Source organism: Homo sapiens, chromosome 1 (assembly GCF_000001405.40).
Source record: "Homo sapiens chromosome 1, GRCh38.p14 Primary Assembly".
Classification (NCBI taxonomy): domain Eukaryota; kingdom Metazoa; phylum Chordata; class Mammalia; order Primates; family Hominidae; genus Homo; species Homo sapiens.
The window spans coordinates 93,579,514-93,605,164 of record NC_000001.11 but is presented as its reverse complement, the minus strand read 5'-3'; the positions used below and the strand labels follow the sequence as shown (position 1 = coordinate 93,605,164).

The following is a 25,651-nucleotide window of genomic DNA, read 5'->3' as shown; positions in this document are numbered from 1 at the left end:
TTGGATGTCTGGTCCTCTGTGGGCTGCTCCAGGAAGTCATCATCTAAATTTGATCTAGACGGAAGGTACCCGCCAGGGCTTTCAGCGTGGCAAGATGTTAACAAATGGCCTGTTGGAAATCTCATCGTGTTTCGGTTTATCTATTAACGAAAAGGTGAGACCCCCTTGGAGCTGAGCTTTGAGTGAGGCTGTAGGTAAATGATGTTTATCAAGGGGTAAGAAACATGATGGGCAAACTCACTGGGGTCAAGAAGGGATGGAGAGAGACGTTACAGTGCAATGAGTACATTGAGCAGTTTCACCAGTGAGTGGGTGATCTTAGTGAAGAAAAGAAGCCACATTTGTTGGCGTTGTATGTGCTACATTCTGTCAAGCTTAGAATTCTACCCGAAGTTTTCAGAACAAAATCAGTGAGAAATAATTTTCAGTCCCTTGGTGTTCTATCAAAATAAAACTGAGCTTCAAAAGCAACAGCTTCATGATCTGGCAGGATGGGAATGTGTGCAAGAGACCTTGCCCAGAGAATGACTGTGGATCAAAGGTAACAGGGGTTTAACATCAAAGAAGGCATGGGCACCTATCACAATGATTCTAATGTAATTAGTTTGTCATGTAGGATTAAGTTACTGCTGCCTGCTTACAGAGTGCTCTGCTCTAAGACTTCAGTCTGCACAAATTAAAATTAAATTAGTCTTTTTAGTTTGCACACATGGATAACAGAAATTTAATGGGAATTTCTCAGAACTTTGATAAGCAAGGGGTTCTACAGATATCCTCTTCATATTTACTATACATGATTTCTGAGCCTCTTTTGATAAGAGATTGATTAGGTTTGATAATGAATAAAAGGAAATCTCTTAGATTTGGGATCTCTAGGGGTTTTGATGGTATTTTCTTGTCTGCACTAGGGTCTGATTGCCCCTTGTATCCTCACTCATCTGTGAAAAGGAAAATCATATACAGTAGGAAAATGAAACATCTTAATTTAACAGCAAATTGCAAATCAGTTTTTAATGGCACTAAAACGACCATTTGGTCTACAGTGTGATAAATGATAGAGATCTAACTACAAAATGGAAAAATGGCATCAAAACCCATCTGCAGAATCTTTGCCGAAAGGGAGATTCTTTCTAGGATTTGGAAGAGATAAATTTATTTCATCAAGGTGCTTAAACGTTAACATCAAACTAATTGAAGTGTTTCAGAATGCTAAAACTTATTGAAATTTTTATGGAATCTCTGCTGCCAATTTCTTTGTCAGAAGGGACCAGAAACCCTCACTGACCCCAGATAAGATAGATGTTTATTGCTGCACATTCTCTTCAAATGCTTTGTCTCCTCAAAAAGGCTGTGACTGCTGCAGGGCATGGAGTCCTCCTTCCATCACAGCTGCGGCTGCCTCAGATCTAGCCAGAGAGGCAGAGTAGCACGGCAGGCATGCAGTAAGTCCTTGGGTTTCATTTAAGGCACGGTGTTCCAGTGACTATCAAACTCTTGATTGAAAATGGAGCCCCTGACTATTTCTGCAGAACTTTAGCCAAAAGGGTGAAGTGTGCATGGATTAGGAAGCTCTCTGCAAAGGCTGCTTCACTGAGCTTTAATGAGAGAATTTGAAGGAGCTGGCTCATAGCAAGGGGCCCAGTGAGGCCAGAGGTCCTCATCTGCCAAGGGTCCAACACCTAAAAGGCAGAGAAGTCTCAGGGACACACTCAGGGACCCTCCCTGCTGGCCTGTAGAGTGCCTCTTGAGTGAATAAGAGTAAGACACCCTTTCCTCAGGACACTTTATTGTCATATGTTGGGCAGCTGTTGTAATCAATATATAGATCCATGACAGCTGTGTACAAGTGGCACCTCCTTAGCTATGGTTCTGGCAACGTCCTGGACCGCTGGCCAGGCCACCATGTGCCCACTGGGCTGGGTCAGGCAAAGATGCCCAATTGCCCACGTTCACATTTGGTTTTGTTTACCCAACAGGGATATAAAATATGAATTTTTTTCTCTTTGAACTTTTTTATTTGTAAAGTTAATTATTTAAGTAAATGCTTTGGCTTTAATCACAGTTATTAGCATAAGAAACTATTTTTCTAGCCTAGCATCCCAGTGGGAAAAGTAGGATTGGTGAATTCAAACCTTTCTTCATTTATCTTTGGATTATAATAAAATAAACTATTTTTAAGTAAGCCACAAAACCAGCAAGTGTCAGTAAAAGGTGAAACAGAACCAATCTACTAATTATTTCATTGCAAGGCTTTAGGATCGCCACAAGTGCCATTCCTGTTCTTTCTGTTCTACTTTAGATGAAAACACCCAAGGGCTCGTACTAGAAGTAACTGGTCTTCAAACTTGTGGAGAACTGGATTTTTATTTTCAGCTTCGGGCAGGGTTTAGAGTGATGAAAGTAATTGGGGTTTATTCATTCTTTGGGTTCATGATCAATTTATGCAGGTTTTCAATTGTAAAAATACCAATTGGGTCTTTAAAAGTCCTTTATATACTTCAGAATTTGGTTGTAAACTTGGCTTGAAATTCAACGCAAGGCAGGGGTTCAAAAGGGCTGAGTTTCTGAATTCTCCAAAGAACTTCATTTCGGGTTGGATTTACTTGTAAGACGATGCCAGATGTAGCAGCCTTCTTCAGAGGAAGGGTTCAGACTGCTTTGTGTAGTGCTTTTGAAAGTGTGCTTTTTGGGGATTCAGTTTCTTTACATGTTTACAACATTATTGGGGGCAGTGATGATGCAGGTCTCAGGTCATCACAGGGATTCCCAGAGTTCAGTGGATTTGAGATGTGGATCTGTCTTTTTGGACCCCCAGCTTGGGCCACCTGGTACAGTTCACAGCCCAACCCCCGTGGGGTTTCCCACCCTGAGCTCATTGGAAGACACTGGCCTTGCTTAGAAATTAGACCAATGGCCGGGTGTGGTGGTGCAGACCTGTAGTCCTGGCTACCTGGGAGGCTGAGGCGGGAGGATCACTTGAGCTATGAATGCGCCACTGCACTCCAGCCTGGGAGACAGAGCAAGACCCTGTCTCAAAAAAAAAAATGAAAAAGAAATTAGACCAATGTTAACATCGAAGATCCAGAACTCCAGTCAGACTTATAATTTTATTTGTAATCAAAATTTCTGGATAGGATTTCTAGAAAATCCCAACCTGTGGAGTTGTTTGATACAATTTGATAAGAGGCCTGGACTGTTGTGGACTTCTCCCTCAAGCTAATAAACTGTTCCAAAACTGAAGAAAGGAGGCTTTTGTTTGAGAACCCTGATAGCATTCCGGGTGTTGGAGCCTGACACTCCCAACTAGGATAGAATAGCCCAGCAGCTTGCTAGCTTGCTCCTTCTCCAGCCTCCTCTCCCTTCTCCTCCCCACCTCCTCTTTTTATGCACACATTCCCTCCTTCTTCTTTTTCTTTATTCAACCAAGTTAATTGCCAGGCTTGATCATGGAATAAATGAATGACTAGAAAATCATCTCAGTTTTTAAAATTCAACAAAAAATTTCTCAACAACTAAGTGTCCAAGAAGACAGAATCTACATACAAGGACCTCTTAGTCTTGTGCAAACACAAAACTGTCTTGCACTCGCATGCTGGGCTGTGTCACCTGTGTATTTGTGGATATGTGAGCCACCTGGCGCTAATACATATACTTGTTAATAGTGAGATATATGCATACAAAGTGCTTGCCACCAAGCGACAGTATGCCTGCTTACTCACCCTGCATCTATAGAACCATTGAGTGCTACTCAAAATCCCAGGAACTGTTGACTTTGCACTGAAATAAACGAATAAACAAACCTGTGCCTAAGTAGAGATCAGTTTTCCAACTTCTAGCTTTTTTATTCCATTAGAACTAAATTATCGAGGGCCAGATATCTCTAAAACCTCTGATGGATTTTGTAATTTTTTTTCTTTACTTCTTTAGTGAAGTAGTTCCATTTTGTTGCTAAAAGCCGTCTTTGAAAGAGGGTTCAAATTCCACATTGTGTCAAGCGAGCATCCATGTGCCAGGTATAGTGCCAGATGCTTTACCTGCATCAGGTCCTATAGTCCTGTAAGGTGGGAGTTATTATCCCCACTCCTTATGCATAGAGAAACAAGCTCAGAAGTGTAGAGATGGCCCAAGGTCACTTGTTCTTGACCAGCCTCCAAGCTCTCTCCTCTCCTCCACACCCAATGTGACAAGGAACCTGCTAGACAGAGGGCAAGCAAGTGAGCATGGTTCCAGCCAGTCACTGTCTACTGGGCACTCGCTGTGTGCCAGGCACTGGGCCAGGCTCTGGGAGCCAAAGGTAAATAAGGCATGGTCTCTGCTTGGCCTTCAAGGTCCCCACCTACCTTGTCTGACTTTCCCCTGGCTGTTCCCCAGTTCCCATCCTGGACTCCTGCCAGGCCGTGTACCTCTACAGATGTGTCACTGTCTGCTGGACCACAAGACAAAGGCATGGAGGCAGGACATGAGGGATGTTTTGTTCAGGGAGCCATGGAAGGTTCCTGCAATTGGACCCTGCGTCAGAACATGTTAGCAAGTTAGCTTGTGGCCAGGTGGAAAAAGGCATTACTTGACTTATGAAGGAGGCTTTGGGCTTTATCTGGAGGTCACTGTGAGCCCTTGGAAGCATAACCAATATTTCCTCAGGCCTTGGCAGCCAACAGCCCCAAATAATGTCCTGAAAACTTTAATGCCTCAACTCTGCTGACTCTTGGAACCCACTTCATAATGGCAGGACCCTTGCCCATCTCCCCTGCCAGTCATGCCTCTGACAGTTATTTCTGGGGGCCCACAGGGACGCTTCCTGTTTGCATCCACAGCCCTCTCATGATCTGGGCCTCCTAGCAAATTCAGAGCCAAATCCCAGTGTGTCTGCAAGTTCAGTATATGTCAGGGGCCATGGGTCAGCTCCCTGGGGCAACAGGAAATGGTGCTTAAAGCTCAGGATTCTGGAGGAACAGGGCAGGACTGGGGTCTGCGCCCCCAGGGACCAGGCCCGAACCCTGGCATGAATGAAAACTAAATATTAGAAGCTCGTTGATTCTGTGTATATGTGTGTGTGGTGGGAGAGGAGTTGAAAGAGACTGTGGCTGTCATGTCGGCCTTAGCTGGAGCACCCTTGGACTAAAATCTCTGAACCTAGGGGCAATATGACAAGGTTGGTGGTATTGTAGGTGGCAGGTTGTGGGACTAGAAATGGGAGGTAGGGAAACTGTTAGGAGGCTATTGCAGAAGTTCTAGGAGAAAAGAACAGTAATCTAAACAGTGGGGATTCGAATGGGGATAGGTAAAAGAATCAGGAATGTCTTAACCAATGGAAGCCGATTCTGAGGGTTCTAGTTCAGGTAATGAGGACAGAAGAGATGCCAGTGACTGGGGAAAAGGGCGAAGATCAGGCTTTGCAGAGGGGATGAGTTCAATTTATCCATATTGACATCTGAGCTTTAATGCGGATTCCAGTAAATATCCCTACCAGGCACCGACCCTAAGGGCTGGAGATGGAGATCTGGGCGTTGTCAGCACATTTCAAAAGACTCTGACCTGTGCCTCCAGCCCTGGCCCCATCCAGCCCATTGCTCTCACTGCAGCCAGATCTCTCTAAAAGTATCTTTTTATATACCTGTTGCCTTCCTGGGCAAAGATTTTCCGTGACTCTGACTTTCTGGAGTGTGATGGTCTAAACCCTCAGCCACCAATGTTGGGCTGCCCTCAGCCAGTCCCTGCGTTTCTGGGTCAGGACTGCTTTGGTCACAAGTGACAGGGATTCCACTCATACTAGCCTAGGTCACAAGAGGAGTTTGCCGGCTGATATAATCAGCTGGGGCTTAGGGATGTGCATGCTAGAGGTCACTTTCCATCTCTTGCTCCTCTTCTCTTTGCTTGCTGGTTTGATTCTCTCAGCACTTTGTTCCACCTGGCAGGAAACACGGGGGTGAGGCAACTTCCATGCTTCAAGCCTCATGATGTTTTCACTGAAGTGGGATAGAGTATCTTCTTCGCTCAGTTCCATCTAGAAAAATCCCAGGAAGAACTCTGATTGGACCAACTTGGTACAGGCACCCTTCCTGGGCCAGCTGGCCACGGTCAGGAAGGTGGGGTCAGAACGCATGCTTGGGGTGAAGATGTGGCTTTCCTGGGGAGTGGCGGGGTTGCTGGATGTATATAAAATACATAACATACCATTGTTGTGCCTTCGCATGCTTTAGCCCTCTCCTCCTAGCCAGAACCTTCCAGCCAAGGCCAGCTCTTTTTGGCTTCAAAAGACAAAAGGAAATGTCCCTTAGCTCAAATGTCCCAAATACTCTTCCTATCCCTGTCCTTAAGTTTTATCCTCACGGTCCAACCCTGATTCTCCAGACATCTGTCCTCCTCCCATCTCCATGAAGCTGTTTCCAGGACACTCCTGGCCACAGTGACTTTTCTCATTTTTCCACAGGGAAAACCAAAGGACAAAGAGGTGGGGTAACTTGCCCCGGCTGCCAAGCTGGGAGGGACAGGGAGCAGATGGCAGGACAAGCAGTATGTTTCTAGAGCTTGGAATGTGTTAAACTGTTCTTTGTGTGTCATCTTCCAAGGAGACTGTGCCTTCCTTGAGGGCAGGGACCAGTGCATCCATCCCCCACTGGCAGCCAGATGCTGGCAACTGTTTGGTCATGACAATGGATGGCCATGGCCTCTGCAGCCTCTTTCCACCCTCAGTTCCTAGGCCTGGGGATAGAGTCTTTCCTGCCGATTTGCACAATTTAAAATCCTGTGGGAACTAGGAAGCCTTTCTTACAGGCAGGGATAGAGTAAAATAATTATTAATTATAATGCAGATGCCACCTTTTTCAAATTCTGCTGTCTCCTACATGCGAATGAGTGTCCCCAGCCTCCTCTGGGGGTTTCTGACAGATCGCCCAAGTGCACCCCTCCCCGTCCCGTCTTCAGAACTCGAATCTCCTGTGCCTCCAGGGTCCATTGTTGTGCCTGATTTGAAATGCAGGCTCTGATGCTCACGCAGGAGACCCCTAGCTCCATTCCTCCCATGCCAGAATGGCTTTTCTTCCTTGGAGAGCTGCTGAAATGTGGGTTTCTGCATTAATCGAGGTTCCCAGCACGTCTGCAGACCTGGCTCTGTGCCTCCAGAATGTGTTTTCCAATCATCTCCTGGGCCCTGGCTATTCCAGCCTGTCAAGACTGGACTTGCTGGGGCCACGTGGGGCTGCAGAGATGTGCTTTCCAGATTCAGAGTGATATTTATGATTTCTTGGAGCCAGTCCCAGCAAGCTAGGACCAGTCCCCTCCGTGTAACCGAGCAGAGGTGCTGGGCCAGGCGGGCAGTGAGTGAGGATTGAAGAAACTTGTGGCAGGCAGCCTCCAGGCACTTGGCAGGCTCCAGGCTGCTTTCCTTAACTGCTTGCCTCCCAAACACCTGCCTCCCTCAGCCTCCTGCATCAGACCTTGAACATGAAGTCTGCTTATTTTATAGAAACAGATTAGTAGCATCCTGATATGAGTCTATTATGACAATTAACAGTGCTGACTACATGCCAGGGATGTTCTTAGTGCTTTCCAGATGTTGACCCATTTAATCCTTATTAACACCTCATGACATATTATCATGCCCATTTTGTAGATGAGGAGCCTGAGGCTCTACAGAGTTAATGTCACCTGCCCGAGGCCACACAGCAGGTGCGTGGCACAGTGGCCTGTGGATTGAGGTGGCTCTTAAACACCTTGCTGTAACACTTTTTGATATCAGGGCTATTAAAATGCTGGGGATAGGAAAGATGTAGCTAGACTCAGATTTTCATGAAAAGCATCAATTATAGTAACTTATTAATTTTCTAACTATCCTGCAATTTGGTTGGACAAGAGGGGGCCTCATCCACCCCCTACATTTGCCCTGTTTGTCACTTTACCTACATCTCATCTCAGACCCCAATGCTAATGACTGGGACAAACATGAACATTTCGAAGTGGGGCCATGTGAGTGGGTAACCATGTACAGTAGTTACTAACTCTCCTTCCCTTCTTTTCTTTCTTTCCTGCTGAAGTTATACTTATTATTTATGTACATAGTACCTTTTCTTACTCTCCCTGTGCCTCTAAAAGGACTACTCAAATTTCCTGAAGCACAAGATATGAGCCCTGCCTGCATGTTTGTCTCATTGTGGTCTCATCATGGTTGTAGGTAGATTTGGTCCCTAGAATGAAGCTGGCAAGACCTGTGGGCACAATGTTCTTGATCCAAAGCCCAGCAGCATCCCTTCCTCTGGAGGCTGAGCCCACAGCTGCTGTGTGGGGTGAGCTCAGGATGGCTGGAGCCTCTGCTGAGGCAGCGAAAACCAACTTTGTCTCTCTGACTCCTCCTCTGCTGCCACCTCCTTCCCCTCAAGACAAAACACTAGAAAAACAAGGAATCAGATGCCTTCTAGGAATGAGGTTCAAACTCAAGGGCAAATGTTAGAGAATTTGATCTTGGAGAGAAAGTTGTATTACTAGATAATGTGATCATTATTAACGTTTATTGCATTTATGTGAGCGAATGATTATTCACAAGTTGTCTTGCTCTCTCTGCCTGGCAGTTGAAGAAAACATATAGTCCAGAGGGCCAGAGTCCTCCATTCACACTCAATGTCAACTTTCTAAGAGAGCACAGCCGTGTTACTCATTCTGGGTGCCACAATGCCTGCTGTCCCTTGCTGACAGAGGGATTGAGGATGATTTGAGTCCAGCCTGTCTTTAAAGCACATTGAGTTCAGAAGATGTCTACAAATGTGAGAGAGTTGGAAATGAGCTAGGAGAAAAGGCTATGGGAACTGGGGTGGATTTGAACAATGTCCTTGTGTCTTCTTTATTTTCCCAAGATTGGAAGCAGTTAGAATGCCTAGGACCTGACACCTTATTCTCTGTCTTCTCATGCATCATTCTGGGCTATGCAAATAATAACAATGCATGCGAATATTATGTGAGCGAATACAGTACTAATCTCTTCTGCCCTTGCCTTAGAAAGGTAGTCTAAGGAAGGGCAGGAGGATTCTTAGGGCATTCGTAGAATAAATTAGAACTTAGATCAATTAGAGGACACAGATAGCCACACAGAGGGGATGAAACCTTTGCTGAAGGCAGAGGCTCTGTTGTGTTACCTTAAATTGCTAGAATTTGCTTCATAGCCAAGTTGCAAAAACTAGCCTATGCCATGAATAGAATGCTTGCATTCCAGGGAAAAAATCCAAATTCTTCCCACGTGGCAGCAGAAAAGCGAAAGGATACACTGTCACCAGTAATTCAGGTTGTATGTGGGAAGCCTACAGAATTCCGCCAAATGTTGCAGACATGCATGACCAGTGCTATGAAGCAGGAATCTCATTTCTGGTCCCCAAGAAGCACAGATATCAATCACAATGTTCTCAGAAATACAGATGGATACATTTTGCCACAATTTGTTATATGGTCACCTCTCACTAACCTGTGGGGTTTACAGTCCATCAAAGTACTTATCTAAAGTGGCAAAATCACAGTTGGGGAGATCAAGATCTCATAAAATACAGGCAGCTGGGAAAAATAATTGCATTAATTTATGTGACGAAGGCAGTAGTGAAAGTTCTAGAAGGTTTCCACTCCCAAAATAACCACTGTGTCATCATGAGGTGGCCATATGGGGTGATCCTTTTGAATTGCTTTCTTCAGTTGTCTGGGAGACATTGTCCACATCATCTGCTAAGGCAGAGGCTCCCAGCAGCAAACCTGGCTCTCTGCAGTGTATTCGAGCCAGCCCTCACTGGCTGGAAATGGAAAACCTTTTGCAATTGCTTGTTCACTCTGGGTCTCCCTCTCTCCCTCCTTTCCTCTCATTTTCCTCCCTCTCTCTTTCCCTCCTTCCCTTTTAAAATACAAGTCTAGGCAGTTGTGTAACCTTCAAACTTTTCATAAAATATGCAAGAGCTTAAAGGCATAGTTTTTGAAGTCTGGTCTTTCATCCCAAATTATTTGAGAGCGTCAATCTTAATATCTTCATTTCTCTCTCTCTAGGTACTTTCCTGTAATACCCTACCTCCTATAGTACCCTGTAGGATTCACTCTCTGGAGTCTACAGGGAGAAAGAGCAATAATTTAGGATTTTCCTGTTCTTCTCTTAGGAATTAGGACAGAAGTAACAAGATAGCTGATTTTATATTTTTTGTAACCAGTTTAAAAGCATTATCTCAAAACCTGGAATAAAAGATTGATGCATATAAAGTGCTAAAAAGAATAATAACCCTTGCTGTTATGAGCAGGGCTGAGAAAGGAGCCGGGGAGAGGGAGAGGTGGCTGAGTGTTAGGACATCAGGGAGGAAGGAAAATGCAAAGATAACTGTGGAAATAGCTTCTTGGATATAAGCAAATAAATTTTCAACAAAGAACTGTGCAAGACCTGCTGTATATTTTCAGATCTCCACATTTTCAGAGGTCAGACCAAGAAGTGGGCCCAGGGTGCAGCACAAGGGATTTAGGCTAAGCCTGCAGACTGCCTGTCAGGGTGACTCAATGGGGGTCAGGTCACAATATGGGTTAGGATTTAGTTCAGCTGCCAGTGACGGGAACACCCACAAATCACAGGCTTCCATAAGGTAGATCACCTAGAAGACCTGGAGGCTGGCGGTCCAGGGCTGGTGTGTTGGCCCCACAGTCATCAGGGACCCAGCCTCAATCAGACCTTCCACCCAGCCAATTCCTTGGTGTGGCTCCCCACTCACCGTCCAGAATGGTGTTGAGTCTCCAGCCATCACATCTCAGCTCCTTGGTCAGAACTGAGTCCTGTGGCCACATCTCCCTGGAAGAGACAGAGATTGAGGAATGTGGTCTTTTGGCTGAATGGCAGCATGCCCAGCGAAAACAGGGCTTCAGATGACTTGAGGGCGAAAGGGAGAATCTCCATAACTAAGCAAAGTCAGCATCTTTTCTCATCCTAGGGTATTTGTTTACTGAATACCCAGTGCCTGATGTTTTCAGGCATTGCTCAAGGGCAGTGGGGAAAAAGTAGATGGATTTCTGTTTTCATGAAACTTACAGTCTAGTGGGAGGCAAGTCAGACAATAAACGAACAATAAAGCGTGGCCGAGTTGACAAACTGCATTCCACACTCAAGCTGTCTTCAGATGAAGCCGTACAATATTAATGATGGGAGCGGACGGTGTCAAACATCACCGTCTAAAGCCTGCAGGCACCCTGGACAGCCAGCGTCCGCATCTCTTTGATGCAAATTCCATCCTTCAGACACTCCCAAGTGAGTGTCTGCCCAGTGAGAAGGAGGGAGAAGTAAACAAATAGTAAGCCAGAGCCCCATCTAAAAATCAGCCCCTGAGTTACTCTTCAGCTAGCGCTCCTTATGGGCCAATGTGCAAAGAAGCACTAGAGGATGAGAATCTAGCCCTAAAATTCCAGGGCTTTGTTGTTGTTGTTGTTGTTGTTGTTGTTTGGTGGAAAAGGATTTGGAGCTATTTCTTTGCTGACGTGCAAAGTAGTGTAATAGGCCGGGCATGGTGGCTCACGCCTGTAATCCCAGCACTTTGAGAGGCCAAGGTGGGTGGATCGCTTGAGCCCAGGAGTTTGAGACCAGCCTGGGCAACATGGCAAAACCCTATCTCTAAAAAAAAAATTACAAAAATTAGCCAGGCATGGTGGCACGTGCCTGTTGTAGTCCTAGCTACCAGGGAGGCTGAGATGGGAGGATCGCTTGAGCCCAGGAGGTTGCTTGAGCCCAGGAGGCCAAGGCTACAGTGAGCTGAGATTGCACCACTGTGCTCTAGCACAGTGAGACCCTGTCTCAAAAAAAATAAAATAAATAAACATTTTTAAAAAGTAGTGTGATAAGTAATAATTTTGTGGCTCCCATGGGGGTTTGAAGGACAAGCTGGGAAACTTGGGAGAACCACAGGGACACAGCCTTTTTCTGTTCATGGGACTTTCAGCAAGCGGTTCCTGGTCAGCATGCCTGGTCTTGCTGGGAACTGGGCAGGTTTCCAGGTTCAGTTCACATGTTGTAAGCAGGCATGGTTCTAAATTAAACCTGGAGCCACCGCTGTCCACCCAGCACTCACTGCCATGGCCACTGTGCAACGCCGCAGACCACTGATTCTCAAACATCTGAGGTGAAGGACCAGGGTTGTCTTTTTAAATTTGTTTCACTTTCCTATCTGTCATAAAAATGAAATATTAGAAATGTGAAATAAAGACAGACTTCTGTTATTAGATTCAAGAGACATAAAATTGCTCTGTCCATTTGCCCTAAAAGTTTCTAAAGACTGACTCAATTCCTGAACATGAGTTTACCAACAGCAAAGAAGTTAGGGCCATCGCTACCAGCCCAAGGACTGTGCTTTGGGCCTCACTGCCCAGAGGCCCAGGATCTAAGGCCAGAAGGGAACAGCTGCCCTCCCCACGCTATGTCAGGACAGTCCTGAAGGAGAATGAGGAAGCTCTCCGCTGGGAAGAGAGCAGGCTGGGCTGCTGTGTCTTGCTGTCTGTACATCTCTCTGGCCCTTCCTGCCCAGCTGCTTGAGTAGACTGGTAAAAGGAACCTCTTGGTGGACTCTCCTACCATAGTCCCCATGTGCAGGTGAAAATTTTATTACATGGTTGCGGCCGGAGAAACGAAAGGTCACAGCTCTTTGTAATCATTATCCAGGCTCCCCTACCTGAATGCAGGCTGTAGCATAACTGGTTGGATTAGTGAAGCAGGCGGTCACCTCCAGCTGGCATGGCCTGGTGTGGCCTGGGCAGGGTGAGCTCATGGTTGACTCTGTGTTGCAGTTCTCCAAGGAGAGGCACATCATGGACAGGACCCCCGAGAAACTGAAGAAGGAGCTGGAGGAGGAGCTGCTCCTGAGCAGCGAGGACCTGCGCAGCCATGCCTGGTACCACGGCCGCATCCCCCGACAGGTACCTGGTCTTGTCCCTTCCAGAGCATACACGGCTGCTCTCAGGCAATGTACAGATTGATGACCCGCAGGGTCCCACTCCGAGGCCACATGGGCGGAAGCACCTGTGTAACCAAAAACAAATACTCTAAAAATGACTTCATTTAGACCCTTCTCTAAGAAGACCTTGGGAAGAGCTGAGGTCAAGAACCCAAAGCACACATCCACATGTTCAGGAAGTGAAGGGACAGCCAGCGCTCCTGGGGTCTGCAAGCACAGCGTTGTGGGAGGCAGCAGCCACAGAGTCAGTAACCGGAAGAACTAGGAGGGCGGGCTGTGGCCCAGGTAATTGAACTCTTGGCCAGCTGCCAGCAGCCTCAGACCATTTGCAGCCCCTCCTTCTCAAGGCAGTGGCTTAGCTTCGGGAGGAGAGAGGGCAGGTGGCCCAGATCAACAAGGCTGCCTCTGCCCCATTGAGCTGGCAGTTATTCACACTCTCCATCACTTCCCTACTGGATCCTGTGACCCAGAGGTGGGAAAAAAGGGGAATTAAACCCATGACCACAGACTCATGGCCCAGAATATACTTTGTGATCGTCATTTGGGTGATTGCCATAAATAATGTTTTTTCATTTAATACTGTAAAAATTGAAAAATAGAGTAAGTCTGCAGAATTGAGGCATAGAATTTCCCTTGGGTTTTTATTGTAAACCTGATCTGGCCAATCATTAACCAAGGACAACATGACAGGAAGTGTGTGGACAGGGGCTGGGGGGAAGGGCATCATGTCGTAAGTTTTTTTTCTTTTTTTTGAGACAGAGTCTTACTCTATCACCCAGGCTGGAGTGCAATAGCACAATCTCAGCTCACTGCAACCTCTACCTCCTGGGTTCAAGCGATTCTCCTGCCTCAGCCTCTCTGGTAGCTGGGATTACAGGTGTCCACCACCATGCCCTGCTAACTTTTATATTTTTAGTAGAGACGGGGTTTCACCATGTTGGCCAGGCTGGTCTCGAACTCCTGCCCTCAAGTGATCCACCCACCTCAGCCTCCCAAAGTGCTGGGATTACAGGCATGAGTCACTGTGCCCAGGCTTTTTTTTTTTTTTTTTTTTTTTTAATGTAGTAGATTTCTTGGCACAATCAAATAAATAATTATTATTCTGACTTTGTTTTTTTAAGTTTAAAATTGATTGTAGAAAACATAGATAGCAAAAAGAAGGAAATTAAACTCTTATCCATAATTCTCCTCATAATTCTCCTGGGGATAACCACGATGAATACTTTTGTGTACATACATCCTCCCGGGCTTTTTGAAATCAAGTATGAGATTGTACTACATATACTTTTTTGGTAGCCCATTCTACTCACTTACTATGTCCTGGGAATTTTCACCCACTGTAGAATATTCTTCTGCACCAGCCTACATTGTATGTCTGTCCACGGTATGCATGCACTACAATTTACTGGACACATAGGGTGTTTCTAATACTCTGACCAATATCCTTTAAGATTGCTGTGTTCATACCTACAATTATTTTCACAGGCTCAATTCTAAGAAGTGGCATTTCTATGTGAAAACATTTTTAAGGCAAAGATGCAATTTTAAAGTAACCATGGTAGCCTACTATTTTGACCTAACAGAAGTATACTGTTGATCAAATGTTGGAATGTTCCAGAAAAATTGTCAGAATTATAAAACCGATACTATCACCACCGTCCGTCTCCTTATCATGGTCATTACATTCGTTTACTACTTGCATGAGTATTAATTTTCAGTGATAAATCGTTCCAAACTGGATAACTGAACACTATAACCATAACCGTAATAACGAGTTATTGCTAACATTTTAGCCCCTTAAATCTTTGTAGCCATTCTATAGGTAATATTATCATTTGTGTTTTTCAGATGATATAAGTGAGCCACAAGGAGATTATGTAATTTGTCCAGAGTCATACAGCTGAGCCAGGATGCAAACCCAGGTGGTCAGGCTACAGGAACAGCCAGGCTGCACCACATTATAAATTCTCCAGTTGCTGTAAGCAGCAGCATCATGCTTGTTAACTATTTTTGAGCATCCACTGTGTTCCAGTGCTTACATATGTTATGTATACAAATACATAACCCTGATAGTAACTGTAAGATGAGGGACCCCAGCCTGACTTTGTTCTAGGCCTTCTAGCCAGTAATTGGTGTGTCCAGAATCTATACCCCAGTCCTGCATGTGGACTCCTCCTCCCCACTGGCCAGGCCTGGAGAGGGGCATCTTAGGAGAGGGCCCCTAGGATGACTTCTAGACACCAACAAATACCCTTCTTTCTCTTCACTCCACTTGTTGGGGAGGGAAAATCAGGCCTGCCAGGCACACATTTTCTCATTTCTTATTTCCTGTTTCATTACATCATTCAGGTCTGTATAAACGTCATGTTCTTGTGACACCTCCCCAACCACCCTATTTTACTGGACAGCCCTCATCCCCTCCCCGGCACTTCCTGCCTCCTTTCCTGGTTTACTTCTTCCCTGACCTTACAGCTGACATACCATAGCCACTGGTTATTTATCCTCACTAAAACAGAAGCTCCCCACCAAAAACAGGAGCTCCATAAGGTGGGCTCTTGTGTGCCACTGTCACCACTGCATCCCCTGAGCCTGCAGTGGTGCTTGGCACGAGTAGGTGGTCAGTGAATAGTTCTTGAATGAATGATTGGCTCTTCTATGAATTTGATCTTTGAAAAACTAAAGAGCTGACCCAAGAAGAGACATAGTAGCATTGTCTTCTGTTGGCCCAGAGAAGTGGGTAGCCATAAGCTTTTAGAAGGAATGTGAATTTGCCTTTCCTACTCCTCACTCACCTTTTTGTCCCAAAGGTGTCTGAAAACCTTGTGCAGCGAGATGGTGACTTCCTAGTTCGTGACTCTCTGTCCAGCCCTGGGAACTTTGTCCTGACCTGTCAGTGGAAGAACCTCGCTCAGCACTTCAAAATCAACCGGACAGTTCTGCGACTCAGCGAGGCCTACAGCCGCGTGCAGTACCAGTTCGAGATGGAGAGCTTCGACTCCATCCCCGGCCTGGTGCGCTGCTACGTGGGCAACCGCCGGCCCATCTCCCAGCAGAGTGGCGCCATCATCTTCCAGCCCATCAACAGGACGGTGCCTCTGCGGTGCCTGGAGGAGCATTATGGCACCTCCCCAGGCCAGGCCCGGGAGGGCAGCCTCACCAAGGGAAGGCCGGATGTGGCCAAGAGGCTGAGCCTCACCATGGGTGGCGTCCAGGCCCGAGAGCAGAATTTGCCCAGGGGAAACCTCCTCAGGTAGGTCAGGGCCTCCTCTGCAGGACTATGAGGGGCGCCGGGGTGCCCAAGGTTAGTTAGGCAGGTGAAGAATTCATCATGGAACAAAGAAATAAAAGATGTTAATAGGAATGCCGACTGTTCGCAGAATAGCTGTCACGAGGCAGTGAACAATTAGCTCCCAGCTGAGCAGTGTCAGCAATGAATGGTACAGGAGCTGAGGAAGAATTTCGGGGGGTGCTGATGGGGATACCTTGTGAAGGGGGTAGACTTAGGCTGGTCTGATGGCTGGGGGAAATTTGGATAGATGCTGCAAAGGGCTGGGGGTGTTCCAGGTGGGAGGCATAGCATGGGCATAAGTGTGGGGACAGAAAATGGTATGAAGAGCTTGAAGTGAATGTGCTGGTAGGGCTGGAACAAAGGGTCTGTGCAAGGGACCCGTAGCAGTGGGCTTAGGGAGATAGCCCCAGCCAGATCATGGGGGCCTTAATGCCAGGTGCAGGGCTTTAAGGGAGCTGTACAGACTCAGCATAGCGAACACGGTGTCCTAAGAATAGAAATGGACAGTGATGTACCGGGGGTGAGGAGAGAGACAGGAACAGGAAACCCAGTTAGTGAGTCATGGAGGGCCCCGGCTGCAGGAGTGGAGTGGAGGGAGAGTCAAGAGATGTAGGAGCCTGGCCTCCCAGGACTCTTCTTCACGTGGTAGAGTCAGAGGAGGGCACATTGGAGACCACAGGAGTGACCAGGAGGGAGGGGACTTTGGAGGATAAAACACACTTTTTCATCTGAGCTGGAAGACTATGGGCTTGTTGAGTGCCACAGTCCAGCAGCAGTTTTGGGGTCCAGGAGGGGAGTTAGAGCTGAAAACTTAAATTAGGGCTTGGTCCACCTGGAAAGGGTGGTTCACTTGGTGAGAACAGATGAGATTTCTAAGATAGGAGATGCAGAGAACATGGGGTCTGTAGTCTGAATCTCAGGGAATGGGGGAAGAGAAAGATTCAGGGCACTTGGTGGAAAATCAAGGCTTCAAAACCTCACTGATCCTAAGCACCCAGCTGTCAAATGTCAGCGACGTTGGCCTGCATTTGTATAGGGCCCGTCTTTCACAGAGCTCAGAGTCTTTGTGCATATTATCTAAAAGCACTGGGAAAGGAAAGGAGGGAAAAGGCAGGCATCGGGGACATAGATCCAGTCCAGCCCCTCAGTCACACAGCAGCCCTGACCCGGCTCCCAGCTTCTAATCTTATGCACGTAAACCAACATATTTTATTCTACTCACTGGTTTTTTTTTTTGGCGGGGGGGTCCATGAGGAAATGTCATAAACTGTCATTTCTATACTGCAAAACTTAGGGAGGAAAATACAGGACTCTGTGTGGAATGTAAATGACAGCTGTGTGCTGCCTGGAGGCTCCGGCACATGCTAGTCAGCATCTGGCTGGGGACCCAGTAGCCAGGCACAAATGCCGGCTCCACATTGGGCAACTTTTCAACCATGGGCAAGCGACTTGACCTTCCTGGGCCTCACCTTCTTCATCTAGAAAGATGGAGCTTGTGAGGTGTACATGATTTAATATATGCAAAGTGCTCAGAACAGTGCAGGCACAGAGGAGGTGCTAGGGAAGTGCTCATGATAATTATTATCTGGAGGAGAGTAGAATGTCAGACTCAGACCCAGCACAGTGGCTCACAGCTGTAATCCCAGCACTTTGGGAGGCTAAGGTGGGCAGATTGCCTGAGCTTCAGAGTTCAAGACCAGCTTGGGCAACATGGCACAACCCTGTCTCTACAAAAAATATGAAAATTAATATAAGGAGCTCAAACAACTCTATAGGAAAAACTCTAATAATCTGATTTTTAAAATGGGCAAAAGATTTGCTCTTTTGAGAAATGAGTATTTCTCAAAAGAAGACATACAAATGGGCTGGGCATGGTGGCTCACGCCTGTAATCCCAACAATTTGGGAGGCCGAGGCAGGTGGATTACCTGAGTTCAGGAGTTCAAGACCAACCTGGCCAACATGGCAAAACCCCATCTCTACTAAAAATGCAAAAATTAACCAGGTGTGGTGGTGCACGCCTGTAGTCCCAGCTACTAGGGAGGCTAAGGCAGGAGAATTGCTTGAACCCAGGAGGCAGTGAGCCGAGATCATGCCACTGCAGTGGCAAACAGGCATATGAAAAGGTGTTCAACATGATTGGTCATCAGAGAAATGCAAATCAAAACTATAATGGATATCACCTTACCCCAGTTAAAAAGGCCTATATCCAAAAGACAGGTAATAACAAATGCTGGTGAGGATTGTGGGGAAAAGGGAACCCTCCTACACTGTTGAGGGGAATGTAAATTAGTACAACCACTATGGAGAACAGTTTCGAGGTTCCTCAGAAAACTAAAAATTGAGCTACTATATGATCCAGCAATCCCACTGCTGGGTATATACCCAGAAGAGTGGAAATCAGTATATCAAAGAGATACCTGCACCAATGTTTGTTGCAGCACTGTTTACAATAGCTAAGATTTGGAAGCAGCCTAAGTGTCCATCAACAGCTGAATAGATAAGGGAAATGTGTATATACACAGTGGAGTACTATTCAGCCATAAAAACAATGAGATCCTGTTATTTGCAACCACGTGGATGGAATTGGAGATCATTATGTTAAGTGAAATAAGCCAGACACAGAAAGACAAATGTTCTCACTTATTTGTGGGATCAAAAAGTCAAAACAACTGAATTCTTGGACACAGAGAGTAGAAGGATGGTTAGCAGAGCCTGGGAAGGGTAGTAGTGGGTGGGGAGTAGGGGATGGGAGGGAGGTGGGGATGGTTAATGGGTACAAAAAATTTAGAAAGAATGAATAAGACTTATTTGATAACACAATAGGGTGACTGTAGTCAAAACAATTATATATTTTAAAATAAAGAGTGTAATTGGACTGTTTGTAACTCAAAGGATAAATGCTAGAGGGCATGGATACCCCATTCTCCATGATACACTTATTTCACATTGCATGCCTGTATCAAAACATCTCATGTACCCCATAAATATATACACCTACTATGTATGCACAAAATTTTTTAAATATAAAAATTAGCTGGGCATGGTGGTGTGTGCCTGTGGTCCCAGCTACTCGAGAGGCTGAGGTGGGAGGATTGCTTGAGCCTGGGAGGTTGAAGCTGCAGTGAGCCATGACCATGCCACTTCACTCCAGCCTGGGCAACAGAGCGAGAGCCTGTCTCAAAACAAACAAAAAAACTCAGGGCAATTGCAAGGAGGGAGGCAAGACCTGATATTTAGAAATCCTCCTTTTCATAGTAATAGGATTGGACTTGAGATGCCTTACAGTGTTAGAAGGGGTACCTTTTCTTCTGTTTCCTTTGGGAAGGATAGGCTGCTGAATGGTCGAAGCAGGGAATTAATGTCATGCACAGAGTGGGAGTGTATTCGGCAGGATAACAGAACCACTGCTGCAGGGAAGGCCTCCTAGTTGGCCCTGAATGATCCTGGTTTAAAAACTTTTTAAGATAAGAAATGAAAAAAAGACTAAGTCTCTTAAGTCAACAAGTCAGGCCTAATAGAGCCACTTTTCTGTTTGCCCTTTGGAATGCAGATCCTCCTAGAACTTGTCACCACTTTGTACACGCAGCACGCCCAGAAATGTTTAAGTGGGAGGAGGGGAAAAGATGGCTCATGGCCTGCTGCCCTGCCCCAGTGTCCTTCAGTGGCTCCCTTATGCAGCTCTGGCCAGGTGCCACCTGCCCTGACGTCGGGCCTGCTAGTTGGCTGGCTGGTGGCCTGCCCTGGGCGAAGGTGTGTGCTCACAGGCAGGTTGCATTCCACACCCTGCCGTTCTGGCCCCTGGAGTCCAGCCGCAGTGGTCACTGCTTAAATATCACTTCTCGGGAGATATTTCCTTTTGTAATTTGCCCTCGGTCTTGTCTTATCTTCGAAAGGTTGCTGGAATTTCTCTGTTCCTTGGAGTTTGGGGGTTTTTTGATTTGTTTTTTCTTTGGTGCTTGTAAAGGTAGGAAAGAACTTCGTGATTTCTGTAACATAACAATGTTTTATGCTTATGGGAAGGCCAATTAAAGTTCATAACAACTTGGCTGGTGCAGTGCCTCTGTCTCTAGCTAGGGAGATTCTGGTGCTTGGTGCTGGAGAAATTCCCAGTCTGAATTGGAAAGGGACAGAAGGAATAACAGCGAGTGTGTTGAAAGTTACCTTCCACCTTTTCCTTGTGTGGTTACACAGTGTGCCTCCCAACTGCTGCTTGGTGACCGTGCCGGTGCCTTTTCCCAGCTCAGCAGGAGGAGGCTGTGTGGGGGTCCCCCGAGAGCAGCCAGGAGGTTGGGGATGGCAGCCTCCCCAGGCAGTCCTGCAGGTTATTTGGGGGATGCTGAGATTTGCACCAAAATGGAAGTTTCCCCACAGCTTCCTTCCTAACTGCAACACTATGGAGCATGTGGAAAATGCATGTTAGTTAGGCAAGCCATTCCCTCTGGGCCTGTAAGTAATTTTAGGCTCTGTTAAAAGTACACATTCCAGTTCATCAGATTTTCCCGGGAGTATCGTAAAACTTTTACCCTACTCTGTTCAACAGGATGGAACAGCCCAGAGGAGGCATCCTAGGACTCAGCTGCTGCATTGGTCATGGGGACAGGGGGATGGAGTACACAACACAGTCATATATTAATCGTCCCATCAGTAATTTGTTTCTCCAGCGGTCATTCCTTTACTTTTAGGGTATGCTGTAGCACTCTCGTTCTGAGCAGTTTTCTTTTTTTTTGTTTTTGTTTAAGTTCCCATGGCATTGCCTAAAAGTTTTATTTTACACGTTAGTAACACATTTCCATCCTATGTGTCTTTTACTTCAGAAACAAAGAAAAGAGTGGTAGCCAGCCCGCCTGCCTGGATCACATGCAGGACAGAAGAGCCTTGTCCCTCAAAGCCCACCAGTCAGAGAGCTACCTGCCGATTGGTATGTTTCGGGGAATTTTCAGGGAGAACGTCAGTGTTACCCTGGTTTCCTTCAGGCTGTTACCCTGCCCCATCTAGTTGTCTCATTCGAAAACGACACAAGGCCTCAGGCCTGCAGCCTGGAGGGGAATGGGTTTGCAGAATTATATCCGGCGGCGAAGCACTGAGCTAGACACCGTATGCCAGCTTTTAGGCCTCGTAGCAAGCCTTCAGGGTAGGCATGATTATTGCCATTTCACAGCTGAGGAAACTGAGGCACAGATAGGTTAAGTAACTTGTCCAGAATCACCCAGCATTTGAACCCAGGTTTTCTGATTCAAGCCCATTTAAAAACTGGTAGTCTTCATGACAAATGAGCCTACTCCCTTTTCCCGGGTGGGCGGGTGGATCCTGGGGCTTTTGGCAGAACAGCTGTCCAGGCCAACTCCCCTTCCTCTCCATTCTGCTTCCAAGGCTGGAAGAGTGATAAGGTATGGGGTATGGGGAGACCTACTAAGCAGTTACATTAGTAAGACAGGGGGTTGTTTTCATTATTTTCATAACTGACTTTCCCTGGGACCACAAAGGGATTTTCCTAATGCCCCTGCGTAAACTACCTCCATGTAGGTTACCCCAGTGTCTCTTTTCCCTTCCCTGTCTCCAGCTCTCCTTTGGAAGCTGGCTGGGATCCACCCTTTGAGAGTGGCATTTTAGGTGGCTAACGACTTCTGTTTCTTAGGGCAAGATTACATTATTCATGCCCTCCTCGCTCATATATTTTATCATTCTGACTGTCCCAGCCTTCTATGACCATACAACATTTGTAGCCCAGGTGTCAGCAGTCCCCGGGATTTCTATTTGCACCCAGGAGTGTGGGATGGGGCAAGCCCAGCCCAGCCCTCACGATGCTGTAGACTCCCTGAGATTGGGCGTGGGACAGTCACACTGAATTTTCTTTTGGAAATGAAAATGAAAATTGAAGCCCAAGGGCATGAATGGAGGGCTGGGGAGCTGCCACTCTGGTTTTGTTTGTTTTATATTCTCCACACAGATGAGCTTTCTCTGACCTTTTCTTATCCCCCACAGGCTGCAAGCTGCCACCTCAGTCCTCGGGTGTGGACACAAGCCCCTGCCCAAACTCACCTGTGTTCAGGACGGGAAGCGAGCCTGCCCTGAGCCCAGCAGTGGTTCGGAGGGTCTCCTCAGACGCCAGGGCTGGGGAGGCGCTGAGGGGATCAGACAGTCAACTGTGCCCTAAGCCCCCGCCTAAGCCCTGCAAGGTGCCGTTCCTCAAGGTTCCCTCGTCTCCCTCTGCCTGGCTCAACTCAGAGGCCAACTACTGTGAACTGAACCCAGCGTTTGCCACAGGCTGCGGCAGGGGAGCAAAGCTACCCTCATGTGCCCAGGGAAGCCACACAGAACTGCTCACAGCCAAGCAGAATGAGGCGCCAGGTCCCCGGAACTCTGGCGTCAACTACTTGATCCTTGATGATGATGACAGGGAAAGACCTTGGGAACCTGCGGCAGCTCAGATGGAGAAGGGGCAGTGGGACAAGGGCGAGTTTGTGACGCCCCTCCTGGAGACTGTCTCCTCCTTCAGGCCCAACGAGTTTGAGTCAAAGTTCCTTCCCCCTGAGAATAAGCCCCTGGAAACAGCAATGTTGAAACGTGCAAAAGAACTGTTCACCAACAACGACCCCAAGGTCATCGCCCAGCACGTACTGAGCATGGACTGCAGGGTAAGCGCTGGGGGTCCTGGTGCTCCTCTGGCTTTTCAAGGTTTGGTAAGAGCTAGGGGTCCCGGTGCTCCTCTGGCTTTTGTAGGTTTGGAAGGAGGGGATCCATCTGGCCTCACTCTGCCTCACCCATTAAATGCTTTGCCCATAGGAAAGTCTGAAGATAACACCAGCATGGGAATTTATTTAAGGGGTGGGAACCACAAGCTGGGACAACCTTTGCCCAAGCAGGAAGCTTATAAAATTCATCTCAGACAGAGGGATGGCAGGCTGCTGCCGGGGGTGGGGGCCGCCCTCTTCTCCCACCCACCCCTGCTGGCATCAGCAGCTGCAACAGAATCCTCCTCACACCTGGTGCTTATTTATAAACTACCCCCTTGCCTCAGCTCCATCAGAATTGGTAAAGCCAAAGCTACAGGAGAGTAGATTGTAGATGAAAATGTAGTTTCTGGAGTAGCAGACCTTGGTTATTTTTATTACATTATACTTATGCATTACATATTTATTTTATTACTAAAATGATCTTTAGTATAAACATCTTTAAAGCTACCTTGATTTTTAAAATAATCCTTCCTCAATTTAGAAAAATTCTAAAATGGCGGAGCATGTTGGCTCAAGCCTGTAATCCCAGCACTTGGGGAGGCCTAGGCGGTGGATCACCTGAGGTCAGGAGTTCAAGACCAGCCTGAGGCATGGAGAAACCCCGTCTCTACTAAAAATACAAAATTAGCTGGGCTTGATGGTACACGCCTGTAATCCCAGCTACTCTGGAAGCTGAGGCAGGAGAATTGCTTGAACCTGGGAGGCGGAGGTTGTGGTGAGCTGAGATTGCACCATCACACTCCAGCGTGGACAACAAGAGCACAACTCTGTCTCAAAAAAAAAAAAAAAATTCTAAAATACAGATTAAAAGATAAAACCACACAAATCCAGTTTCCTGGAGATCACCATTGTCAGCATTTGGTTTACGCAAAAACATTATTATTTTCTCTGTAAATGGATACATGTAAATAATTGCATGTGTAATATCTGTTTGCCACAGGTCTGTACACACTATTCCAAACCCTGAACCTTTCATTGACAAACATGACTGTCTTTCCATGTGATTAAATATTTACATTGTCACCTTTTTTTTTTTTTCTGAGACAGGGTCTCACTCTGTCACCCAGGCTGGAATGCAGAGGTGCGTTCACAGCTCATGGCAGCCTTTGCCTCCCAGGCTCAAGTGATCCTCCCACCTCAGCCTCCTGAGTAGCTGGGACCACAGGCGCATGCCACCACACCTGGCTAACTCTTTGTATTTTTTGTAGAGATAGGGTTTTGCCATGTTGCTCAGGCTGGTCTTGAACTCCTGAGCTCAAGTGATCTGCCTGCCTTGGCCTCTCAAAGTGCTGGGATCACAGGTGTGAGTCACCGCACCCGGCCCATCACCATTTTTTTGTAGGAAACGTTTATTTTAGATGTAAGTGACTTTTGTTCATAGGTGGTCCCAAAGCAACCTCATCCTTAAGAGAGATTAAGTCACTTTTTCAGATCCGTCGGGATTCGTTTTAGGACCTTCAGTGGCTAGCAAAATCCACAGAAGCTTGCATTCCTTATATAAAATGGAATAGTATTTGCATATAACCTATGCAATCCTCCTGTAGATTTTAAATCATCTCTAGATTACTTACAACACCTAATACAACGTATATGCTTTGTAAATAGCTATTATACTGCATTATTTAGGGAATAATGGCAAGGAAAAAAGTCTACATGTTTCATACCAATGCAGCTTTTTTTTTTTTTTTCCTGAATATTTTTGATCCTTGGTTGGTTGAATCTACTGTTGCAGAAGCCACGGATAAGGAGGGCTGACTGTATTCTAGACACCAGATGTTGTCTCAGGCGATGGTGGGCTCGGTCCATCTTTTCAATATAAAGAGGCTGGTTCCTGGGCATTTGAAGCCCTTTTTTATTTGTAGCTCAGTGAAGTCAATTAGCTTCAGACGTCAGGGCTTATTTAGGAACTGGGTTTTCCTTCCTATGTGTTGAATCATGGCAAGAAGTCCAGTCTCAGAACACTCCTGCAGGGAGTGCCAAAGTTGATGGAGGGCTCCCCAAAACAGGCTTGAGGAACTTTAGGCAGCTGCTGACCATCCTGGAGTAAACAAGACCCTTGCTGACAACAGAACTTGAGGGATGACTCAGAAACCAGAGTAACTCATTGCCCAGGCCTGGGAGGTGGGGCTGAGGGTGGACTTCTGCTGAGCAGGCCTTGAGAAGAGAGCCAGGGCTGCACTGGAAGAACAAGGGCCTGCTGTACTTTTGGCCAGATGGCCTCGGGCAGTGCTCACAGGTAGTCACGCAATTTGCGAAGTTATCCGGACCTCACTTTAAAGCGAGCTTAACCTGTTTGGGAGGTAGGAGGATTGAGGATTTCTGTTCTAGTCAGTCAGGCACATTGGGCCCTGAATCTGAGAGCAGAACCATGTCAGTGGGCCAGGAGGGAGACTCTGGCCTGGTATGAACCTGCGTGGGTTCTCCATAGAGGAAGCTCCTCGTAGAAACAGGCCTGGGTTTACAGAGCAGCCCGATTCCCAGGGGAATGAATCCTTCCTGTGGCCCTGGGCAGGGCTTAATGATCCTCTAGGTGGAGGAGAGATGCCTGCCTGCCCGCCCTTGGCAGGAGGCCTGGGACCTGCCCACTACCTTTGGTAGCCATGAAACTAGACCCCAAGGATGTTCCCAACTGAAGAATGCAGTCTCCCTGGCTTGCTGTGGTGCATTTTGTCCTCCTAGTGGGGCCTC

At 46.8% G+C, this 25,651-nt stretch overlaps 1 protein-coding gene and 1 long non-coding RNA gene across 36 annotated transcripts in view, besides 5 other annotated features; one reads left to right on the top strand and one right to left on the bottom strand.

Moving 5' to 3' along the window:
- Window positions 1–25,651, top strand: part of BCAR3 (BCAR3 adaptor protein, NSP family member) — a 286,411-nt gene that overhangs the window by 242,987 nt on the left and 17,773 nt on the right. For 26 of the 35 annotated variants that reach the window (NR_178024.1, NR_178023.1, NM_001261408.2 and 23 more), the window contains 4 exons: window positions 12,772–12,900; window positions 15,746–16,188; window positions 21,044–21,147; window positions 22,212–22,864. Coding sequence is in view for 33 of the 35 variants with exons in the window: in NM_001261408.2 (NP_001248337.1) it covers window positions 12,772–12,900; window positions 15,746–16,188; window positions 21,044–21,147; window positions 22,212–22,864 (1,329 nt within the window). In the remaining 2 variants the exon portion in view is untranslated. Of the gene's footprint in view, window positions 1–9,667; window positions 12,901–13,997; window positions 16,189–20,002; window positions 20,194–21,043; window positions 21,148–22,211; window positions 23,987–25,651 lie in introns of those variants that run through there. The other 9 variants (NM_001412057.1, NM_001412074.1, NM_001412065.1 and 6 more) reach the window with 6 other exon arrangements.
- On the bottom strand, window positions 5,135–13,197 carry BCAR3-AS1 (BCAR3 antisense RNA 1). Its single transcript, NR_034091.1, has 4 exons — window positions 12,657–13,197; window positions 10,716–10,792; window positions 6,175–6,248; window positions 5,135–6,004 (listed from the first exon to the last, which is right to left on the bottom strand). It is a non-coding gene; the product is annotated as a BCAR3 antisense RNA 1 (long non-coding RNA).
- Window positions 12,501–13,001: an enhancer, noted in NCBI's record as "H3K4me1 hESC enhancer chr1:94057721-94058221 (GRCh37/hg19 assembly coordinates)". NCBI's record gives its function as "activates a minimal SCP1, AML or CMV promoter by ChIP-STARR-seq in primed H9 embryonic stem cells {active_cell/tissue: H9 hESC(primed)}" and the evidence as "EXISTENCE:reporter gene assay evidence [ECO:0000049][PMID:30033119]".
- Window positions 12,835–12,994: an enhancer, noted in NCBI's record as "active region_1332". NCBI's record gives its function as "activates an Ori minimal core promoter by ATAC-STARR-seq in GM12878 lymphoblastoid cells {active_cell/tissue: GM12878}" and the evidence as "EXISTENCE:reporter gene assay evidence [ECO:0000049][PMID:35858748]".
- Window positions 15,487–16,031: an enhancer, noted in NCBI's record as "H3K27ac-H3K4me1 hESC enhancer chr1:94054691-94055235 (GRCh37/hg19 assembly coordinates)". NCBI's record gives its function as "activates a minimal SCP1, AML or CMV promoter by ChIP-STARR-seq in primed H9 embryonic stem cells {active_cell/tissue: H9 hESC(primed)}" and the evidence as "EXISTENCE:reporter gene assay evidence [ECO:0000049][PMID:30033119]".
- Window positions 16,032–16,576: an enhancer, noted in NCBI's record as "H3K27ac-H3K4me1 hESC enhancer chr1:94054146-94054690 (GRCh37/hg19 assembly coordinates)". NCBI's record gives its function as "activates a minimal SCP1, AML or CMV promoter by ChIP-STARR-seq in primed H9 embryonic stem cells {active_cell/tissue: H9 hESC(primed)}" and the evidence as "EXISTENCE:reporter gene assay evidence [ECO:0000049][PMID:30033119]".
- Window positions 19,944–20,456: an enhancer, noted in NCBI's record as "H3K4me1 hESC enhancer chr1:94050266-94050778 (GRCh37/hg19 assembly coordinates)". NCBI's record gives its function as "activates a minimal SCP1, AML or CMV promoter by ChIP-STARR-seq in naive H9 embryonic stem cells {active_cell/tissue: H9 hESC(naive)}" and the evidence as "EXISTENCE:reporter gene assay evidence [ECO:0000049][PMID:30033119]".